Source organism: Homo sapiens, chromosome 5 (assembly GCF_000001405.40).
Source record: "Homo sapiens chromosome 5, GRCh38.p14 Primary Assembly".
Classification (NCBI taxonomy): domain Eukaryota; kingdom Metazoa; phylum Chordata; class Mammalia; order Primates; family Hominidae; genus Homo; species Homo sapiens.
In genome coordinates this window covers 43117881-43140613 of record NC_000005.10, presented here as the reverse complement: position 1 = coordinate 43140613, position 22733 = coordinate 43117881, and the positions used below count along the sequence as shown (strand labels likewise).

At 43.2% G+C, this 22733-nt stretch overlaps 1 protein-coding gene across 17 annotated transcripts in view, besides 5 other annotated features; it reads right to left on the bottom strand.

Annotated features, from left to right (window-relative positions):
• ZNF131 (zinc finger protein 131) overlaps positions 1-19700 on the bottom strand; it is a 55411-nt gene extending 35711 nt beyond the window's left edge. For 3 of the 17 annotated variants that reach the window (NM_001330707.2, NM_001330704.2, NM_001330706.2), the window contains exons 1-4: positions 19491-19700; positions 18437-18575; positions 17304-17405; positions 1305-1449 (exon numbers count right to left, since the gene is read on the bottom strand). In NM_001330707.2, coding sequence (NP_001317636.1) covers positions 1305-1449; positions 17304-17405; positions 18437-18560 — 371 coding nt within the window. In that variant the 5' untranslated portion in view covers positions 18561-18575; positions 19491-19700. Of the gene's footprint in view, positions 1-1304; positions 1450-3408; positions 3946-8149; positions 8234-17303; positions 17406-18436 lie in introns of all 17 variants that reach the window. The other 14 variants (NM_001330712.2, NM_003432.4, NM_001330714.2 and 11 more) reach the window with 11 other exon arrangements.
• Positions 18045-18612: an enhancer, noted in NCBI's record as "H3K27ac hESC enhancer chr5:43122104-43122671 (GRCh37/hg19 assembly coordinates)". NCBI's record gives its function as "activates a minimal SCP1, AML or CMV promoter by ChIP-STARR-seq in primed H9 embryonic stem cells {active_cell/tissue: H9 hESC(primed)}" and the evidence as "EXISTENCE:reporter gene assay evidence [ECO:0000049][PMID:30033119]".
• Positions 18613-19181: an enhancer, noted in NCBI's record as "H3K27ac hESC enhancer chr5:43121535-43122103 (GRCh37/hg19 assembly coordinates)". NCBI's record gives its function as "activates a minimal SCP1, AML or CMV promoter by ChIP-STARR-seq in primed H9 embryonic stem cells {active_cell/tissue: H9 hESC(primed)}" and the evidence as "EXISTENCE:reporter gene assay evidence [ECO:0000049][PMID:30033119]".
• Positions 18759-19018: a silencer, noted in NCBI's record as "silent region_15991". NCBI's record gives its function as "represses an Ori minimal core promoter by ATAC-STARR-seq in GM12878 lymphoblastoid cells {active_cell/tissue: GM12878}" and the evidence as "EXISTENCE:reporter gene assay evidence [ECO:0000049][PMID:35858748]".
• Positions 19449-19798: a silencer, noted in NCBI's record as "silent region_15990". NCBI's record gives its function as "represses an Ori minimal core promoter by ATAC-STARR-seq in GM12878 lymphoblastoid cells {active_cell/tissue: GM12878}" and the evidence as "EXISTENCE:reporter gene assay evidence [ECO:0000049][PMID:35858748]".
• Positions 19979-20038: an enhancer, noted in NCBI's record as "active region_22534". NCBI's record gives its function as "activates an Ori minimal core promoter by ATAC-STARR-seq in GM12878 lymphoblastoid cells {active_cell/tissue: GM12878}" and the evidence as "EXISTENCE:reporter gene assay evidence [ECO:0000049][PMID:35858748]".

The window sequence follows — 22733 nt, the reverse complement described above, 5'->3', positions numbered from 1 at the left end:
CCAAACTGTTTTGGCATCAGGCCAATGATCTGTATTGAGAAACATAAAAAACAGTACCAGGAGATAATAGTTCATACTTAGAGTACTCAGAGTCATTTAGCCAGACACCATGCTAAACACTTTGCATGCATTAATTCATTCAACCCTCACAATCAAATCCCATGTAGAAAGTACCGTTATTACTCTCATTTGACAGAGGAGGACACAGCTGACAGGAGGGTTAAGTAACTTAATTAAGGCCACACAGTGGTAGAAGCAGGATGTTAACCCAGGGAAACTGACTCCTGAGCTCTTATTCTTAGTAACTATGTTACACTGCCATTATTCATCAAGTAAGGATGTTGAGGTCTTTGTTCATTATATCCTTTCACGTTTTCTCTTTTTTAAAAAAACAGGGTCTCACTTTGTTCCCCCTAGCTGGTATGCAGTCAGTGGCGTGATCACAGCTCGCTGCAGCCACAACCTTGCCAGGCTCAGGTGATCCTCCCCTCCCACCTCAGCTCCTGAGTAGCTGGGACCACAGGCATGCACTACCATGCCCAGCTAATTTTTGTATTTTTTGTAGAGACAGGGTTTCACCATGTTGCCCAGGCTGTTTGTGAACTCCTGGGCATAAGCTATCCATCCACCTCAGCCTTCCAAAGTGCTGGGATTACAGGCGTAATCCACTGGGCCTGGCCTAATGTTTTCTTAATACTTCTCAGGAGAAATTTTAATACTAGGAATAGGAATGGCTCCTCAGCAATTGATTTGTTCTCATCTTCTAACAAGGAATAATGTAACTGAATAGTCTTTTTCTTTGAACTAGGTGCACTTAGAGCTAGATTTAGCACATCTACTATAGACTTATGGTATGCATTTTTGGCTATCATACTTCTAACTTGAAATGATTATCTCCTTATTAAACCAATTTATTTATTTCCATCTATTTCCTTATTTTTAAACAGTATTATGTTAATCTTTGTAAGCCAAACCCTTTGTAGGATAAGGCTTGGTATAAACAATAACTTGAATCCAACAAAACAGTTTATAAGGATCCAGATCCTTAAAAAGCTGTCTAGATTTATTTTATTACATACCAAAGATGCTACTTTAATATTAGCAGTTTTAACACATGATCAGAAAATCAAAGTCAAGTGAAAGAACAATCAGTATCCAGAAAATTTTTTAATAGATCCTTAAATATTCTTAATTCTTCTGAAGAACTCTGTTCTTCATGGCATGACACATACTGTAAGTTCTTCACTAACAGAATGAACATGACTGAATATGACTATCTGAACCCCATTAAAGAAATTAAGTACCTGACTTCAAGGGCTTTGATAGCTTCTAGCATTTGTAGAAACTCTGCTGCTTTCCATACATCATTGGCTTCTTCTTCTCCTTGTATCATTAATTTTGCTGTATATGTGAACTCAATTAAATGGCGAAAGGCCATTTTACTAACACCTGTAAAGAAGATGTACATTAGAGCATGTAATCATATTGACTCAAATCTTACAATGTTTAGTAAAGAAAGAAAAGCCCAGGGCTTGGAGCTTGTTGAGTATTTATTTTTGAAAACTATTTTCTGGAAAAATTCTCATTAGCAATACAATAATATTACAGCCAAATTTCAGCACTACCTAGCTGGAAAATCTTAAACTACTTTAAATTTCCTGAGGCTCTTGGAGAACAGTAAGATTCTATCACTCAAATATATGAATTGGCTATTACATGTCAGACATGCTACATTTCTTGCCAGGGAGATTACAGCTGTGCCAACTCAGCTCCAAAATCTTCAATAGCTTTTCACAACTTAGCAAACAAAATTTAGTACCTCTCTGACTTTATTTCAAGGCCCTTCACATTATTTTCCTATTTACCTTTCCAAATTTTAAACGACATCACACACACACTATATACTATTTCTCAAACAAACCCTGCACTTTCTAATAGCTGACTTGCCTTTATTTATTTATTTTGAGATGGAGTTTCACTCTTGTTGCCCAGGCTGGAGTGCAATACAGTGATCTTGGCTCACAACCTCTGCCTCCCAGATTCAAGAGATTCTCCTGTCTCAACCTCCCGAGCTGCTGGGATTACAGGCATGTACCACCACGCCTGGCTAATTTTGAATTTTTAGTAGAGATGGGGTTTCCCCATGTTGGTCAGGCTGGTCTCAAACTCCCGACCTCAAGTGATCTGCCCGATCAGCCTCCCAAAGTGCTGGGATTACAGGCGTGAGCCACCGCACCCAGCCTGACTTGCCTTTATTAACACCCTCCTAGTTGGATGCTTAATCATTTCATCTCTGGTTATACTCATCCTACCACCCACCCCTTAAAGGTCCAACTCTAATGTCACATGTTCAATGAAACCTTTTAACATTTATTGTAATAAGAACATGAGATCTACCCACTTAACACATTTTTAAGTGTACACTATTGTTGACTCTAGGTACAATGTTGTACAGACCTCCAGTTTATTCATCTTGCGCAATTGAAACTTTATGCCCACTGATTAGTAACTGCCCATTTCCTCCTCCCTCCCAGCCCCTAGCAACCCGTATTCCACTCTTTCAATCTATTTGAGATAGCTCATATGAGTGGAAGTGACTATTTTAGATTCCTCATATAAATAGAAATATGCAGTTTATGTCTGTGACTGGCTTACTTCACTTAGCATAATGTCCTCAAGGTTCATCCATGTGGTTGCATATGCAGAATATCCTTGTTCTTAAGAGCTGAATAGTATTCCATTGGATACATATACTACATTTTCTTTATCCATTAATCTGTTGACGAATATTTATTTCCTCTCGTGGCTACTGTAAATAGTGCTGCAATGAACATAGGAGTGCTAAAACTTCAAGATCCTGATTTCAGTTCTTTTGGATAAATGTTCAGCAAGTGGGATTGCTGAATTGTATGGTATTTTAATTTTTTAAGGAACATTCATACTGTTTTCCATAATGGCTGCACCTATTCCTGCCAACATTGTGCAAGGATTCCAATTTATTTATATCCTCACCAATACTAGTTGTCTTTTTTTTTTTGATAGCCATCCTGAAAGGTGTGAAGTGACTGATACCTCATAGTGGTTTTGATTTGCATTTCCTTGATGCCTAGTGACACTGAACTTTTTTTTCATGTATCTGTTGGCCATCTGTTTGGAGAAATGTCTATTCAAGTTCTTAGCACATTTAAAAAAACATTTTTAATTTAATTTTTTTCTGCATCATTTAGACTGTTTTTAATTGGGCAGATATTTTTTACTATCAGTTGTGGGAGTTTCTCATATATTTTTGGGATTCATTCCTTATCATTTATTTGGTTCTGCAAATACTTTCTCCCATTCCTTAGATTTCCTTTTCACTCAGTTGTTTCCTTTGCTGTACAGAAGCTTTTTAGTTTGATGTAGTCCCACCTGTCTTATTTTCTGTTGTTGGCTGTGCTTTTGACGTCACATCCACGAAATTACTAAGAATGATGTGGTGAAGCTTCCCCTCATGTTTTCTTCCAGGAGATTTACATTTTTTGGTCTTATGTCTAAGTCTCCAATTCATTTTGAGTTTTTTTCTTTTTTATGGTAGAAGATAGGGGTCCAATTTCATCTTTTTTCATGTGAATACCTAGTTCTTCCAACATCATTTGTTGCAGAAAACATTCCTTCCTTATTGTGCATTCTTGGCATCCCTGAAGATCAGTTGACCATATTATTTGCATGTTTTTATTTGTGGGCTCTCTATTCTGCTCCTTTGGTCTGTATGTCTCTTTAAGCTAGTCCCATACTGTTTTGGTTATTGTAGCTCTGTAAAATATTTTGATATCAAGAAGTATCATGTCAGCTGGGTGCAGTGGCTCATGCCTGTAATCCCAGCACCTTGGGAGGCCAAGGCTGGTGGATCACCTGAGGTCAGGAGTTCGAGATCAGCCTGGTCGATATGGTGAAACTCCGTCTCTACTAAAAAAAAAAAAAAAAGAAAAAGAAAAAAGAAAAAAAGAAAAAAATTAGATGGGGGTGGTGGCACGCACCTGTAATCCCAGCTACTTGGGAGGCTAAGGCTGCAGTGGGCCAAGATTACACCACTGCACTTCAGCCTGGGCAACACAGTAAGACTACCTCAAAAAAAAAAAAAAAAAAAAAAAAAAAAAAGTATGATGCCTCTAGCTTTGTTCTTTTTCAAGATTGATTTGGCTAGTCCATGATTTTCTGTGGTTCCATATGAATTTTAGAACTGCTTTTCCTGTTTCCATAAAACAAAAAAAATTCCATCAGGATTTTGAGAGGGACTGTATTGAATCTGTAGCCCACTTTCTGTAATACAGGCTGAATATCCCTCATATGAAAAGCTTGGGATCACAACTGTTTTGGATTTTGAAATATTTGCATTATACTTGACACAGGTTGAGCATCCCAAATCTGAAAATCCGAAATCCAAAATGCTCCAACAAGCATTTCCGTTGAGTCATGTTGATGCTCAGAAAGTTTCAAATTTTATAGCAGTTCATTTTTTCTTCTTCGAGACCAAGTCTCACTCTGTTGCCCGAGCTGGAGTACAGAGGCTCGGCTCACCGCAACCACCACCTCCCGGGTTCAAGCGATTCTCCTTCCTCAGCCTCCCAAGTAGCTGGGACTACAGGCACGCACCACCATACCCACCTAATTTTTATATTTTTAGTAGAGACAGGGTTTCACTACGTTGGCCAGCTGGTCTTGAACTCCTGAAATTGTGATATGCCCGCCTCGGCCTCCCAAAGTGCTGGGACTATAGGCGTGAGCCACTGCACCTGGCAAGCAGTTCAGATTTTCAAATTTGAGATGCTCAATCTGTATGGACAATTTAACAATACTGAGTGTTCCAAATCCATGAAGATCTATTGAGTGTCTTTAGTTTCTTTTTTCTTTTTTGAGACGGAGTCTCGCTCTGTCGCCCAGGCTCGAGTGCAGTGGTGCAATCCATGCTCACTGCAACCTCAGCCTCCCGAATAGCTGGGACTACAGGAATGGGCCACCATAACCAGCTAATTTTTGTATTTTTTTCCGGAAGAGACAGGGTTTCACCATGTTGTTCAGGCTGGTCTTGAACTCCTGACCTCAAGCAATCCACCCGCCTCCGCCTCCCAAAGTGCTGGGATTACAGGCGTGAGCCACTGTGCCCAGCCCAATTTCTTTAATGTTTTATGGTTCTCAGTATTGCATGTCTCTCACCTAAGGAGGTGAAAGGTTAAGCCTATTCCCAGTTACTTTATTCTTTATGGTGTCAATATAAATGGGATTGTTCTCCTAATTTCCTTTCCAGATAGTTCATTGTTAGTGTATAAAAATGCAATTGATGGCCGGGCGCAGTGGCTCACACCTGTAATCCCAGCACTTTGGGAGGCCGAGGTTGGTGGATCACCTGAGGTCAGGAGTTCGAGACCAGCCTCAACATGGAGAAACCCCGTCTCTACTAAAAATACAAAATTAGCCAGGCGTGGTGGTGCATGCCTGTAATCCCAGCTACTCGGGAGGCTGAGGCAGGAGAGTTGCTTGAACCTGGGAGGCGGAGGTTGGGGGGAGCCGAGATTGCGCCATTGCACTCCAGCCGGGGCAACAAGAGCAAAACTCAGTCTCAAAAAAAAATGTAACTGATGGCCGGGCGCGGTGGCTCATGCCTGCAATCCAACATTTTCGGAGGCTGAGGTGGATGGATCACCTGAGGTCAGAAGTTCGAGACCAGCCTGGCCAAAATGGTGAAACCTCATCTCTACTAAAAATACAAAGAATTAGCTGGGTGTGATAGGGGGAGCCTGTACAGCTACTCGGGAGGGTGAGGCAGGAGAATCATTTGAACCCAGGAGGCGGAGGTTGCAGTGAGCCGAGGTCACGCCACTGCACTCCAGCCCGGGCAACAAGAGTGAAACTCTGTCTCCCAAAAAAAAAAAAAAAAAAAAAAGAAAAAAAGAAAAGCAACTGACTTTTGTATGCTGATTTTGTATCCTGCAACTTTACTAAATTTATTAGTTCTAGTAGTTTTTTGTGTTGTCTTTAAAGTTTTCTATATATAAGATGTCATCTGCAAAAAGAGATTGATTCCTTCCTTTCTTACTTGGATGGCATTTACTTCTTTTTCTTGCCTAATTGCTCTAACGAGGATTTCCAGTACTATATTGAAGTGATAAGAGTAGGCATCCTTGTCTTGTTCCTTGATCTTAGAGAAAAAAGTGTCAGTTTTTCACCGTTGAGTATGCTAGCTGTGGGCCTTTATTATGTTGAGATAATTTCCTTCTATTCCTCGTTTGTTTAAGAGTTTTTACTGAGAAAGGGTATTAAATTTTGTCCAAGGCTTTTTCTTCATCTATTGAGATACTCACGTCATTTTGCTTCTTTATTGTTAGTATGGTATATCACATTAACTAATTTTCCTATGTTGAACTATCCTTGCATCCTAAGGGTAAATCTCACTTAGTCATGGAATATGACACCTGTACCTTGCTGTTAGAATCAGTCTGCTAGTATTTCACTGCAAAGTTTTGCATCTATATTCATCAAGGATATTGGGCTATAGTTTTCTTTTTTGTGGCCTGTCTTGCTTTGGTACTGGGGTAATGCTGGCCTACTAATGAATTTGGAAATATTCCTTCCTCTTCAGTTTTTTTGGAAGGCTATGAGAAGGACTGGCATTAATTTCTTTTAACATTTCATTGAATTAATCAATGAACCCATCTGGTCCTACGCTTTTCTTTGTTGGAAGGTTTCTGACAACTGATACAAGCTCTACAGCAGTTGTACATCTGTTCACACTTTCCATTCCTGCATTATTTAATCCATTTATGCCTAGTGTTCCATTATTTGAACACTAAGCATGTGGGAGTTATTAATATCCTACTGCTCAAGGTCATCACCAAGGTCTGATTTTTCAAATTCAAAAAATTACAATTTCAGGCATAAATGGGTTAACCATTAAACATTCTTTAATTCTCCAAGGTTCAACTCTGTAAACTCTGTACCCATTCTGATAATGACAATTCATGGACATCTCTTGACTGTAAACTACTTCAGGAAAGTGATTTTTGATCTGTACACTCATATCACAGTACCTAACAGTGCTTCCTAAAATGCAAGAACACAAAGCAGGAATAAATGAATAAATACTAAAGTCACCTTCTTTTCTTTCTTTTTTTGAGATGGAGTTTCCCACTGTTGCCTGGGCTAAAGTGAAATGGCGTGATCTCGACTCACTGCAACGTCCGCCTCCCCAGATCGAAACGATTCTCCTGCCTCAGGCTCCCGAGTAGCTGAGATTACAGGTGCCCACCACCACGCCTGGCTAATTTTTTGTATTTTTAGTAGAGATGGGGTTTCACTATGTTGGCTAGGCTGGTCTCAACCTCCTGACCTCATGATCCGTCCACCTCGGCCTCCCAAAGTGCTGGGATTAGAGGTGTGAGCCACCACACCAGGCCTAAAGTCACTTTCAAAATTATGCATTTATCATTGATACTTTTGACGGTTTTGTGTTTAAAATTTAGTCCTAAAGTGATACTGTTTCTTTATATCTCAATGCTATATATTATTGGTTCAGTCTGCTAATGAAAGGCTACGAGACACTATTAAGAAAAACAAAAAGAAAACCTACATTTAACATAGATTTTAGACTAAGAAATGCCCAAGTCCAAACCGCACACAATAGGTAAAACTGCAATTCACAAAAATATGTTCTTCCCATCTGTTTTACACATCTGAATGCGGCCTTCAGGACAGCAGTAAGAATGCTGGTGGAATATCATTTAAGTGTTCAAAGCAGTATCCTCTATTTGTGTAAAGAAACGTTCCTGGCTGGGCGCAGTGGCTCATGCCTGTAATCCCAGCACTTTGGGAGGACGAGGTGGGCAGATTACTTGAGGTCAGGAGTTCGAGACCACCCTGGCCAACATGGTGAAACGCCATCTCTGCCAAAAATATAACAAAATTAGCCGGGTGTGGTTACGCGCGCCTGTAATCCCAGCTACTGGGGAGGCTGAGGCAGGAGAGTCGCTTGAACCCAGGAGGTGGAAGTTAGAGTGAGCTGAGATCATGCCACTGCAATCTAGGCTGGGCAATACAGCGAGACTCTGTCTCAAAAAAAAAAAAAAAAAAAAAAAGAATACCATTCAGGAAGTTAGAACTTTCATGTTTTACTCACAGCTCTTCCATGAACTGAGTGATCTGGGGCAATTCAGAACCTCTGAGCCTCAGCAAACTCATTTTCAAAACGTCTAAAAGCAATCTGAATATTGAGAAACACCATAAAATATAAAAAGACCAAGTTACACTCTACCAAATAAGCAAACAAAAATAACTGGACTCACTGAAGGCTAGTTTTATTTGGTTCCCTTTGTATTTTTTCTCCTTGTTGCTTTCATTTATTCTTTAGTATATGAGAGTAGCCCAAGGAAAATACAACTAGCTTTTGCTGTCTTTCAGAAGTTTTGGCCAAAAGTTTAAAAGCACAAGAAAAATCCTTTTTAAAACAATGTGTAAGTGTTTCCAAAGTAGAATGAAATTTTGATTTTTAATCAAACACACATACGTAACACTTACTATATACATATAAAGCAAGGCTCTAAATACTTTACAAGCATTAACTCACTTAATTCTCATAACAACTCTATGAAGTGATAACAACCAGATGGTCTGACTCCTAAGTCTATGACAAAGATTTTAAATAGAATACTAACAGGATAAAAACTTCAAACTTTTCCTTCCTGCTTGGAAAAGTTTGAAGATACATGTTCTCATTCACTATAGGTTCACAATCTCTTACTCATAATACTAAAGTCCCCCCATTTTTTTTTTTTTGTACATACGCACATATGCCTACCCTTGTTATTCTCTGGTGGTAGGATGGGTGAATTACTGCTTATTGTTCCAATTTACATCTTGACCTTTATTAATATTTTTACTAGAAAGGCTTTGCTGAACTCTTGAGGGAACCATATGCTAGGGATGTAAACTATATTAGCTAGAAAATCTTAATACCACTAGGATTCTCAAATGTATTAGAATTTCATGATCGTTCCTCTGCTTTCCTGCTCAAGTCCAAACACTTGTTGACAATCTTGTGAGGGGGATCTTCCACTTGGAGAAAACTTCGTATGCCATGTCAACACAGAGGTGGTCAAAAAATGTGATAAGGGCCAGGCGCGGTGGCTCACGTCTATAATCCCAGCACTTTGGGAGGCCAAGGCAGGAGGATCACCTGAGGTCAGGAGTTCGAGACCAGCCTGGCTAAAATGGTGAAACCCATTTCTCCTAAAAATACAAAAAATTAGCCGGGTGTGGTGGTGCACGCCTGTAATCCCAGTTACTCGGGAGGCTGAGGCAGGACAATCGCTTGAACCTGCGAGGTAGAGGTTGCAGTGAGCCGAGATTGCACCTTTGCACTCCAGCTTGGGCAACGAGCAAAACTCCATCTCAAAATAAAAAACAGTGGTAAGCTTGGAGGCCGGGCGCTGTGGCTCACACCTGTAATCCCAGCACTCTGGGAGGCCAAGATGGACAGATCACCTGAGGTCAGGAGTTCAAGACCAGCCTGGCCAACAAGGCGAAACCCCATCTCTATTAAAAATACAAAAATTGGCCAGGTGTGGTTAGTGAGTGCCTGTAATCCCAGCTACTCAGGAGGCTGAGGCAGGAGAATCACCTGAACCCGGGAGATGGAGGTTGCAGTGAGCTGAGATCATGCCACTGCACTCCAGCCTGGGTGGCAGAGTGAGACTCCATCTCAAAAAACAAACAAAAGAGCCGGGCGTGGTGGCTCATGCCTGTAATCCCAGCACTCTGGGAGGCCGAGGCAGGTGGATCATCTGAGATCGGGAGTTCGAGATCAGCCTGACCAACATGGAGAAACCCCATCTCTACTAAAAATACAAAAAATGAGTTGGGCATGGTGGTGCATGCCTGTAATCCCAGCTACTCGAGAGGCTGAGGCAAGAGAATCGCTTGAACCCGGGAGGCGGAGGTTGCGGTGAGCCGAGATCACACCATTGCACTCCAGCCTGGGCAACAAGAGCAAAACGCTGTCTCAAAAAAAAATTAAAATTAAAATTAAAAAATGTGGTAAAAGAATCGAAACATCAACCACTTCAAAACTTTTCTCATTTAACAACCAGCACTATTAACACTCAGGAAAATTAATTTTGAAGTTAGGAGAAGAAAGTTATCAAAGAAAAAATATCATTTTGAATCTGCTCTTACTTTTATATTACTCATTTCACAAAATGTATACATTATTTCTTTCTCTCCCTCACCACCATACTGAATCAATGCCAGAACTTTTTGATTCTGTCTTATTATCTCTCAGCTACATTGCCTCTACTTTCCTCTTTTTTTTTTTTTTTTTTGGAGACAGAGTCTTACTCTATCGCTCAGGCTGGAGTGCAGTGGCCTGATCTCAGCTCACTGCAATCTCCACCTCTCAGGTTCAAGCAATCCTCCTGCCTCAGCCTCCCCAGTAGCTGGGACTACAGGCACGCGCTGCCATGTCCGGCTAATTTTTGTATTTTCAGTAGAGACGGTTTCACCGTGTTGCCCAGGCTGGTCTCGAACTCCTGAGCTCAGGCAATCTGCCCACCTCGGCCTCCCAAAGTGCTGGGATTACAGGCATGAGCCACCGCGCCTGGCCTCCCATTTCTCTTAAAACCAGAAGTTTCGGCTGGGTGTGGTGGCTCATGCCTCTAATCCCAGCACTTTGGGAGGCCGAGGCAGGCAGATCACGAGGTCAGGAGTTTGAGGCCAGCTTGACCAACATGGTGAAACCCCGCCGTCTCTACTAAAAATACAAAAAGTAGCCGGGCGTGGTGGCACGCACCTGTAATCCCAGCCACTGGGGAGGCTGAGGCAGGAGAACTGCTTGAACCCAGGAGGCAGAGGCTGTAGTGAGCCGAGATTGTGCCACTGCATTCCAGCCTGGGTGACAGAGCAAGACTCCATCTCAAACAAACAAACAAAAAACACAGAAGTTTCTCCATAAATCTGGCAGCAAAATTTGATCTCAGCTAACATGGGGCTATGTCATCTTTATCCCACTTAAGAGTGAATACTAACATGCTATGCTGCTAAACTATTAGTATTTGTGAGTATTATGTTTTTCATTACCCTTAGAAAAATTCTAAAATCTGGAATGTTGAGAAGTATGTCTGGCCTCCGAGAAGATTTGAATAAGGAATTGTGGACCTAGCTCCCTGTCCTGACTGATGAGAATCACCTATAGACTAAATAAAGTACTGGTACCAAGGGCTGGGTGTGGTGGCTCATGCCTGTAATCCTAGCACTATGGGAGGCCAAGGCAGGAGCATTGCTTAAGGCTGGTAGTTCAAGACCAGCATGGGCAAAGTAGTGAGATCTCTTCTCTACAAAAAATACAAAAACTAGGCTGGGCATGGTGGCTCATGCCTGCAATACCAGCACTTTGGGAGGCTGAAGCACGCAGATCACTTTAGGTCAGGAGTTTGAGACCAGCCTGGCCAACATGGTGAAACCCTATCTCTACTAAAAATACAAAAAATATTAGCTGGGCATGGTGGTGGGAGCCTTAATTCCAGCTACTTGTGAGGCTGAGGCATGAAAATTGCTTGAACCCGGGAGGCGGAGACTGCAGTAAGCCAAGATCACACCACACTGCACCCCAACCTGGGCAACAGAGTGAGACTCCGTCTCAAAAATAGTAATAATAATAAATAATAAATAAAAATACAAAGACTAGCTGGCCTTGGTGGTATGTGCTTGTAGTTAGAAGGCTGAGGTGAGAGGACTGCTTGAACTCAGGAGGTCAAGGTTGCAATGAGCCATGATGGTACACTGCACTCCAGCCTGGGTGACAGAGCAAGACCCTGTCTCCAAAAAGAAAGTACTGGTACCTGATCTTTGGAATCAAAACTGGGATAAATATCTGGGTTTTTGTTTTTTTTATTATGAGCACCCCAGGTGTGTTTTTTTTTTTTTTTTTTTTTGAGATGGAGTCTCGCTCTGTCGCCCAGGCTGGAGTGCAGTGGCGCCATCTCAGCTCACTGCAAGCTCCGCCTCCCAGGTTCACACCATTCTCCTGCCTCAGCCTCCCAAGTAGCTGGGACTACAGGTGCCCACCACCATGCCCAGCTAATTTTTTTTGTATTTTTAGTAGAGACGGGGTTTCACTCTGTCAGCCAGGATGATCTCGATCTCCTGACCTCATGATCCGCCCGCTCGGCCTCCCAAAGTGCTGGGATTACAGGCGTGAGCCACCATGCCCAGCTCCCAGGTGCTTCTAACTTATATGACCAGCCCAACACTGTCCTAGGAACAAACCAGTGACCTAATTAGCTAACATGAACCAAACTGATAATACTTGCCCAGCTAAATGAAGTGATGGTGGATATGTAATAATTATACATCTATCAAGACTAGTTTGGTAACTTAACAAATCTCAGCAATCCCTTACTCCCTTCATAACAGAAGTGCGCAGAATACAACTTTTCTAAGAGAGTATCTAAGGAAAATGTTAAAGTGAACAACTGAATCTAAGTCTTCTCCCTGACAGAAATGCTTAGAAAGGAGTAAAAGGGAGCAGCATTGTGGCATTACTCTAGACTCAGGGAATCCCTGCAACTGGTGGAAAACTCCTACTCAAAAAGATGTATAAACATGTACAAGGATGTTTTGTTCTTGATAGTAGGGGCTAAAATTTCTGGACACCATGGTAGAGCTGCTGTTACAGAGAAACTAAGTGCCATGGATCTGTGGTTTCAGGTGAAGTAGAAAAAGAATGAATTTAGAAAATTGGAGGTTCACGTTAGAAGGTTGTGTGTTCTGAACAAAGGAATGAATGTCTGTTGAAGATTTTATATGGTGTGAATCCAAGCCACAAAGCTGAGCTGGGATCCAATTAGCTTCAATAGCAACAAATCTGATTTGAAGTCAAAGATGAACCTGTGGTTTTCATCAAAGGTAACTTACTTTAACCAGGAACACAGAAAACATGGAGGGTGAGCTCAGCTTGCACCTAATGAGTTTATACTCAGAGAATATTACAATCTAAATTTATATACACGTCATTTGCTTTTACGCAATCCTCTAAGACAGTGGTCCTCAACATTGACTGCACACTAGAATCATGCTAGGGCAGTGCTGCTCAAATTTTACTGTGCGTAGGCACCATCTGGGGATCTTGTTCCAATTCAGCAGGTCTGGAATGGAACCTGAGTCTACATTTCTAACAAGTTTCCAAATGATCCCCATGTAGTGGTCCTCAGACCACAACCTACATAGTATATCAAGAACCTAGAGAACTTTTAAATATAGTTTTCTGGATCCTACTCCTGAAAGATTTTTAATTATCTGGAGATACAACCTGGGCATTTATATTTGTAATCGCTTCCCTGGTGTCTCTAATGCCCACCTAATGTGCCATGCTAAGTCATTATTTATATTTTACGAGTGGGGGACGGGGTCCCAGTTCTAGCTAAGATGGAGAAAGCACACTCCACCCTATCTTGTCCATTGATTATTACTAAAAATCCTGGAAAGAATACATAAAGCAAATATACAAGGACTCTGAAAAGTAATTTGAAGCAAGCAGACTGGCGAGAGAAATCAAAACTCAAAACAGTAGTGAGTTTCCTGGTTTTTTTCTCCCACATATGTCAGCTTAGACTTGAGGACAGCCCAAATCTCATTAACTGTGCAGTGAGTGAAGACAGAGAAAAGTTCCAAGAGAAACTCCTTCTGGCTAGAGAACTAGAAAAGATGATGAATGGGAGAGGGACAATGGGGAGGGGTGGATATCTGGTAATTTTTCTTCTCTCTCAGCTCTGCCTCAAAGCAAGCCCCAATCCTGAGTCTGCACACCTGTGGCTGGTAGCTGTCTCCTAAACTCTAAAAGAGAGTTCTTCTGACAAAAGAACTAGGAAAAAGACGATGATCGGAAGAGTATGGAAGAGGGAATTCATTTTATTTTTTTCTCTAACTTTTCTCTCTCTCCATTTTGTTCAGGAAATGAGCCCCTCTACAGAAAACGTATGAAAAGCACAAAGAAGCTAAAATTCCAGTTTTCTCACCAAAGAACCACGAAAAGAAACTCTTGGGAGCTTGTGTACAAGGGAAGTCACGGAGAGAAGAAACGTCCTCTAAATTTGTGTATACAATCTCAAGTTTACCACCAACATGCCCATGTGTGAACTGACCCAAGGCGGCAGAGGAAAGGCGCTGAGAACTGCACAATGGCATGGATGGCACACCTGGGACCTGAACAGCAATACGAAGGTTTTGAAAAGTAAGTTCAAACTGGATCCACAGCCCACAGAGGCAGTCTGAACCTAACCAGGTTAACTGCCCGCTAAAGTGAAACCAAAAAACCAAAAATATTTTCCAGAGGATTTTAACAGCATCCAGTTTTGTAACAAAATATTCAAATGTCCATGACATACTCCAAAATTATGTGACATGAAAAATAAGGAAGCCAAGATATCTAAGGTCACACAGCACACAAACAGTTAAAGCCAGGGCTAAAACTCAAGTTTTCTAACTAACTATATGCCCAGGGCTTTCTCCACAGCCAGGTGACCTTGCTAGACAGTACTGTAACCCCAAAGTTAAGGGCTTAAGATACTGAACCAAATTAATTATTTAAACCTGAATCTGACCAAATGACAGAAATAAAGTGTGTGTCTATTTTGCTTTCTTATCTATCTAGAATTCAAATACTGAAGACTTGTGTGTGCCACAGACCTAAATCTCAAGGTGACTAGTCTTCAGAAGACCAGGCTCTACTTCTACTTCTCCAGGTAATGTGTGCTCATTCTACCAGCAACAAATATTCCAGCTTGGGCCACTTTTCCTTTTTTTTTTCTTTGAGACGGAGTTTCACTCTTGTTGCCCAGGCTGGAGTGCAATGGCGTGACTCAGCTCGCTACAACCTCCGCCTCCCGGGTTCAAGCGATTCTCCTGCCTCGGCCTTCCTGAGTAGCTGGGATTACAGGTGCCCACCACCACGCCCGGCTAATTTTATATTTTTAGTAGAGACAGGGTTTCACCATGTTGGTCAGGCTGGTCTCGACCTCTCGACCTCAGGTGATCTGCCTGCCTCGGCCTCCCAAAGTGCTGGGATTACAGGCGTGAGCCACCGCATCCGGCCAGGCCACTTATTTTTTAAGACTTAAAAATTCTGCTCAGACTTGGCCAGTCGTGGTCTCACGCCTGTAATCCCAGCACTTTGGGAGGAAGAGGCGGGTGGATCACCTGAGGTGGGGAATTCGAGACCAGCCTGATCACGCCATTGCACTCCAGCCTGGGTAACAAGAGCTAAAATCTATCTCCAAAAAAAAGAAAAAAAAAATTCTGCTCAGACTCAAAACTCCTCTTTGAAATCTTTCCTAAGGAAGACCAAACCACTCATTCTCCCTCTTCAGTGATACCATTTCACAGTAATAGTCTTTGTAATACTTTTTGCACTCCTTTATTTGCCTGTTGCTCACCTGTTATGAAATTTTCCGACTTCTTTAAGGGACATCTTATTCATTAATTCTTCATCTCCTGGGTCTAACATAGTACATGATATATTATAGATATTCAATATGATAAACTGACTTTTTTTTTTTTTTTTTGAGACAGGGCCTTGCTCTGTCGCCCAGGCTACAATGCAGTGGCAAAATCATGGCTCACTGCAGCTTTGACCTCCTGGGCCCCAGCAATCCTCCCGCCTCAGCCTCCTGAATAGCTGGGACCACAGGCATGTGCCATCAGACTCAGCTAATAATTTTTTAAATTTTTTGTAGAGAAGAGGTCTCCCTAATGTTTCTTAGACTGGACCCTGTTTATCAAGCTTTGACAAGGCACCAAATATCATGCCATGCACTCTGCATGTTATCGCAATTAGTCTTTATAATCCTATGAACCCACTTTTCAGATGAGGAGAAAAGTATGCAATTGAGGTAAAGTAACCCGCCTGGGGTCACATATTTAATAAACCTCAGGTGTGAATGAATTCATGGAGGCTTGCTTTGTAGTAGAAACCACTATCATCTGGGCAGTTAGATTCTCACTTTATTAAGTTTTGTGGATTTTCATAATTATGTCTCTGTCCTGATTATAGATATTAAAAGATACTCTAGCTGTAAATATATCAGCTATAATGCTAAACTGGAATATACCAAAATTAAAGAATATTCTTAACTCTTTTTTGTTTTCTTTACTCCCCTAGGCATCAAAGGGAAAAAAGGAGTTTCTAGGCAACCCATTCAGAACAAAGAATACGTACACAATGAAATAGATATAAAACCAAAACCCAAGAACCCTAAAAGAAGCTAAAATTCTGTAATTACGTAGGCAAACATTTATTTCCTGCTGTTTTAGATTTTGATGCTGGTGGTAGGGGAGGAGTTACTGCAGTAGCAGAAGAAAAAGCATGGTAATTAATAGCACAAACTTAATTCCTTGCTAGTTGGACAACCCTGGGCAAGTAACCTTTTAGAGCCTGCTTCCTGAAGTGTAAATTATTACAAATAACACCACTTCCCTTTTTGAAAAGAAAAGAAAAGAAAAGAAAAGACAGGGTCTATGTTGCCCCAGGCTGGCCTCGAACTCCTGGGCTCAAGCAATCCTCCTGCCTCAGCCTCCCGAGTAGCTGGGACTACAAGCACAAGCCATCCTGCCCAACATCAAACGATTGCTGTGAGCCTTAGACAATACACAAAACTACATATCACAACGCCTGGCACTTGGCAGGTTATTATTAGAAAAATGTCTAGAAAGTACAAAAATCACTTTTTGCTTCAAGGTAACAGGTATTGATCCATCCCATTGTAGAGCCAGAATTTCCTCTAAATGCTACTTCAGTTCATTTTTCCTAGCTTTCTCCCTATTATGGCAGCCCACTTCACACTGCATGTCATCTGTACCTCTGCTAATACATCACTACTTCTGCTATAGAGTACAGTAAAAGCTTCTACTGTAACCTGCAGCATCTCCAGCAGTCTGAAACATAAGCCCACTGAACAAAGATAGTAATTCACGTTTAATACTTGTTTTCAAAAAACAATGACCACCAGTTTCCACAATGGAAAAGACCAACATCTACCATCTAAGTTTTTCCTGGCAGATCATTCAACCAAGCACTTCACTGAAAGTAAGACTTCTCAGGTATCAAAAGAACAATTTATCTACCTTTACCTACAGGAACTACTGATGCCTATTTCCTATGGTGTCTTGATAAACTGTCTAAAACTGCTTCACCAATTGTTTGCTAAGTATTGTATTTAAAACAAGCATTTAAATAAAATGGCTTCTTTGATTTATTAAATAAAAAAACAACAAGAATCATTTACCTTCTATCTCCACCAATGGTTCTTGGGTAAACTCCTGAAAGAATTTGTAGAAGAACTTACTACAAGCAGCCAAAACAGCCTTGTGAGCCTTAAAATGGTGTCCTAGGTAAAATAAGAAAAAAAAAGAAAATCATACACAAGCACGAAAATCAAATGTATAACTACAAAATAGACTTAAAAATCATATAAAGCAAAATAGGTCTTCCTTCATTACGTAACTACAGAAATTATTGAACTAAATGCAGAATATTCTTGGCAGCTATCTTGGCAAATGTTAATCTCAATTAGATATAAAGCTAAATCTTCACTTCAAACCCCTTTAGTTTTATAAAGCCTAATTTACAACACTAGGTAAGGAGCCTCTTGACACTCTGTTGTTTCCAATTAAGTAGTGAGAAGCATATCCAACTCAGTTGAAACTGCTAAATAAAAGGACAACCCAAAAGGTCACATATCATTTGGAAAGAGAGAAAAAAACCGTAAGCACAAAGCTGGATATGTCTGCTATGAAAAACATTTTAATATGCCTAATATTTGGAAGCTCCATCTATGGTAGACCCATAATTTTAAAAACAGGTTACCTTGAGAAACCTATTTTCGCTAAACAGAAAACATACCCACGCTGGATTTCCTTCCATTATAGAGGCAACTCCTAAGGCTGGTAAAGACCCCATTTTATTTTGGAGATTCTCAAAGGGGGTATGAGTGCTGCAATGGAATCTCTCATTCTCCCTTCAAGACCATTTGGGAAACTAGAAAAAAAATCAACACTTCCCAAATGACTCCTGTAAGGGACTTCTCAAAGCTTACCAACAAGAGGCTATCAACCAAACATTTTGAGACAATCTGTCCCCAACGACATCATCTTGCACTCAACAGGATGTAAGAAGTTAAAATGAGATGAACACCAGACTACGTGGAAGGCATGACTGACCAACCAGCCTTCTGCAGCACGCTGTGTGAGTGGACACTGACAAGTGCAATCTGGTCCCAGTGCACACACTCTGCAGACTTTGGTAGGGAGACCATAGAGGATGGGTTAAAAAAAAAAAAAAAAAAAAAAAGGCGGGTGTCCGAAGGACAGAAAAAAACTGAAGCCAAAAATTCGCTCCTCTGCCCACTGCCCTACCCACCGTCGACAATTAGGGTGATGTCAGTAAACCGGTCCTGCTCTCGCTGTTCATTCAATCGGTCGAGGATCATTTTATGATGTTCAGGGAACTCCTGAAGGCATTCCATCGTCTCTTCAGCCTCCATGGCCGTCGGGCTGCTCTACAAAAGAAGAGCATGATAATGTACACCCATGAGCTCGAGCCGAGGAACAAAACCCCTAAAGCATAAAACAACAACAAAAAAAACCAGCAACGTGAAAAGAAGGGGGGAGGGTGAAGCAAGAGGAGAGAAAGGCGAGGGAAGAAAGGCGAGCCGAGCGGCCCCGGAGCGTTGAGACCGGAGCCGCGGCCGCGGGACTCCGAGCCTGACCTAATTGGAGTCGGGAGACGCGAGCTAGAGCGGGGTGGGCACAGCGCCGGAGGTTCCGAGCGCCAGGGCGCGCAAGTCCAACAAGGGAGGGGACTCGACAGCCGTGGCGGTCCTCTAACGGCCCGCCAAGCCCTTCTGCCCGGCCGGGGCTCCCACCGCCCCGGGACCCGGTCCGGCCCGCGACCCACAACGACTCTCGGGTCGCCTCTCCCTCCCCCGCCCTCCCTCTTCTCCCCCGCCCCGACCGGGCCGGCACTCACTGAGGGAAGGAGGAGCGGCCCAGGCTTGCGCGTCACTTACGTCGACGCACACCGTCACCGCGTCGAGCTCCGGCTGACGCGGACGCCTTCCGGGCGCCGACCAGCAAGGGAACGGGCCACGCCCCTACCCACACCCCTCAGTGGATGGGCGGGGCCGAGCGCGGGGATTTGGCGCTCACGAAGGGCGAGGGCTTGCTCTCTGAGAAGAAACCGGGCAGCGGTGGGCTTGGGCTACTGCAGAGCCTGGCAGGGCCAGAAGCTGGGAACCTAAGTCATTGCCCTTCAACCTCTCACCCTCCCCAGCTTGACTCCAGGGGCGGACACTTCCCGACCCGAGCCCGGAATGAACTCGCCAACCGTCCTCACAGCCCAGCTACTGCGCGGCCCCTCCCGCCCCGTCCTGCCCCGCCCCCTTCCTTCCGAGACCTGGGTTGGCCCGCCTTACCTAGCTCGTGGGTCGCCCTCCTTCCTCTCCGTCCCTCAGAGCCTCTTGTTCCGTGCTTTCCCCTCCCAGGGCATAATGCGCCCCACGCCTTTCCTGACCCCTAACCCGTGGGTCGCCCTCCATTTTCTTCGTGAGAGCCGGGGCTCCCCTTCTGCTCGGGCCCCGCTGGCGCACGTGCGTTCGGTTGGGCACCCGGGCGGCCGCGGCCCCGGCAGCGGCAGCTACGGGCGCGAGCACGTTCGGGCCGCCCGGAATCTTCCTCCGCGAAGCGCGCCCTCCCCGCGCCCTGCCGCAGCACGTGCTTGCTGGGCTCAGGACCTGGAGCTGCTCAGAATTATTTACACCGGATCCCGTTAGTGCAGGCCTTCCCCACTCCTTTAAAGAGTCCAGGCCGGCGCGGTGGCTCATGCCTGTAATCCCAACACTTTGAGAGGCCTGGGCGGGTGGAGCACATGAGGTCAGGAGTTCGAAACCAGCCTGGGCAACATGGCGAAACCCCGTCTCTACTAAAAATACAAAAATTAGCCGGGAATGGTGGTGGGCGCCTGTAATCCCAGCTATTCGGGAGGCTGAGGCAGGAGAATAGCTTGAAGCGGGGAGGTGGAGGTTGTAGTGAGCTGAGGTAGTGCCACTGCATTCCAGCCTGGGCGACAGAGCGAGACAACGTCTCAAAAAAAAAAAAAAGTCCAGTGACCCACAGTCAGCTGCATGTGACTGCTTCCTTAATTCCTCCAAAGAAATATTATATATAAATACATTTTGAGGATAATTCTATAATTGAGATTTACTTATTTTTTTCTCTCAAAGAACTTGAGAATTGGGATTACGGAGGAACTCAAATAGCTATATGGTAATAATGTCATCATAACTTCAACAGATATGTATTGAGAATCCTAGTACTAGACACTGAGAAGTCCAGCTGTGAACAAGGTATATGTGGTTTCTGCCTTTCTGAATCTTAAGTCTAGTAGACTGCATAGATATTTTGAACAGTAATTGCCTAGGTGCTTGCTGATGAGTTTTGCAACACCTGAAGAACGAAGTAACTGGGTGTCAAGGAAAGCCAGTTGACCTGTAAGAAGAGATGTGGGCGGGCGCGGTGGCTCACGCTTGTAATCCCAGCACTTTGGGAGGCCGAGTTGGGGAGGAGGAGTTCAGCCCAGGAGTTTGAGGCCAGCCTGGGCACATAGCGAGACCCCATCTGTATTAAAACAAAAAATGTTTTTAAGTGATGTGAAGTCTAAGTGTTCTTAGCCAAAAGTATAGCACATGCAAAGGCACCAAGATTATAGCATTCAGGAAACTGAAACAATGTTGCTGGATAGACGCACAAGGGTGCCTTATAAAAAGTGTTGAAGATGTCAGATTTTCTTTTTGCAAGGGGAAGCCTTGCCGCATGGTGACATCCTAAGATGTACTTTTTAAAGAGATAATTCTAGCCCCAATATGGAGAACAGATTAAATGGGACAAGCTGCTAGGAATAGAGATCAACTGGGAGACTGTTAGTAATGTAGATGAAACCATGGGGGAAAATGGAATTAGAGAGCTGGTCAGAATCTAGAGATAGGCTGGGCGCAGTGGTTCAGGCCTGTAATCCCATCACTTTGGGAGGCCCAGTCGGGGAGGATCGCTGGAACCCAGGTGTTCAAGACCAGCCTGGGTGACATGGTGAAACATCGTCTCTACAAAATACAAAAAAATTAGTGATGGTGTGCACCTATTGTTTCAGCTACTTGGAAGACTGGGGTGGGAGGATCACTTGAGCTCAGGGAGGTTGAGGCTGCAGTGAGCTAAGATGGTGCCACTTCACTCCAGCCTGGGCAACAGAGTGAGACCCTGTCTCAAAAAAAAAAAAAAAAATCTAGAGATAGAACCAACATTGGCTGTAAAGCATGCCATAGATACTAAATAAATATTGCTGGATATATTGGTGACAAGGGAGAAAGAATAGTCAAAGATGGCTCCTGGATTTCTGGCTTGAGCCAGTAGATTGTTGGCACCATCTACCAAAATAGGAAATACAACTGGCGGAGCTGGATGGGGAGAGAGGATGGAACCAGAGGTGTTATTATAAGGAGATAATGTTAGAGGCCCTTGGATATATGGGCCTACATATAGTTTAGGGAAGAAGACTAACCGTAGAGATAGAGATTTGCAAGTTTACAGCATAAAAGGAATATTGAAGTGTTAAGAATAGATGGGATTGTTTAAAGAGAGTCTGCAGGAGTGATAGGCTAGCTGCTTGTAGATTGAATTGGTGTTTTAAAATATTATCATCAGCTGGTGGCTCATGCCTGTAATCCCAGCACTTTGGGAGGCCGAGGTGGGTGGATCATGAGGTCAGGAGTTTGAGACCAGCCTGACCAACACGGTGAAACCCTGTCTTTACTAAAAATACAAAAATTAGCCGGGCATGGTGGCATGCGCCTGTAATCCCAGCTACTCGGGAGGCTGAGGCAAGAGAATCGCTTGAACTCGGGAGGCGGAGGTTGCAGTGAGCTGGGACCGTGCCACTGCACTCCAGCCTGAGCAACAGAGCGAGAGTCTGTCTCAAAAAAAAAAAAAAAAAAAAATACGCTGGGCGCAGTGGCTCACGCCTGTAATCCCAGCACTTTGGGTGGCTGAGGCGGACAGATCACGAGGTCAGGAGATCGAGACCATCCTTGCTAACACGGTGAAACCCCGTCTCCACTAAAAATACAAAAAAATTAGCCGGGCATGGTGGCGGGCACCTGTGGTTCCAGCTACTGGGAAGGCTGAGGCAGAAGAATGGCGTGAGCCGAGATCGTGCCACTGCACTCCAGCCTGGGTGACAGAGCAAGACTCTGCCTCAAAAAAAAAATAAATATAAAATAACACATAAATTAAATTAAATATTATCATAATTGTTATTATTCACACAGCCTGCCACCATGCCTGGCTAATTTTTTGTATTTGTAGTAGAGATAGAGTTTTGCCATGTTGGCCAGCCTGGTCTCGAACTTCTGACCTCAGGTGATCGCCTGCCTCCGCCTCTCAAAGGGCTGGGATTACAGGCATGAGCCACCGTGCCTGGCCACGGTATTTCTTAAGATGAAGAAATTGGACACAAAAATAGGCTTTTTGGAAATTCCAGTATATAGGACCGCTCTTCTTTTACAGCAATTGAATTTAACCAAATGGAGAACCCTTTTCTACATAGGATTTGAGCTGTCCAGTTCCCTATAATCCCCACCAATTTCTAATGTTTTAGACTCAGCTAT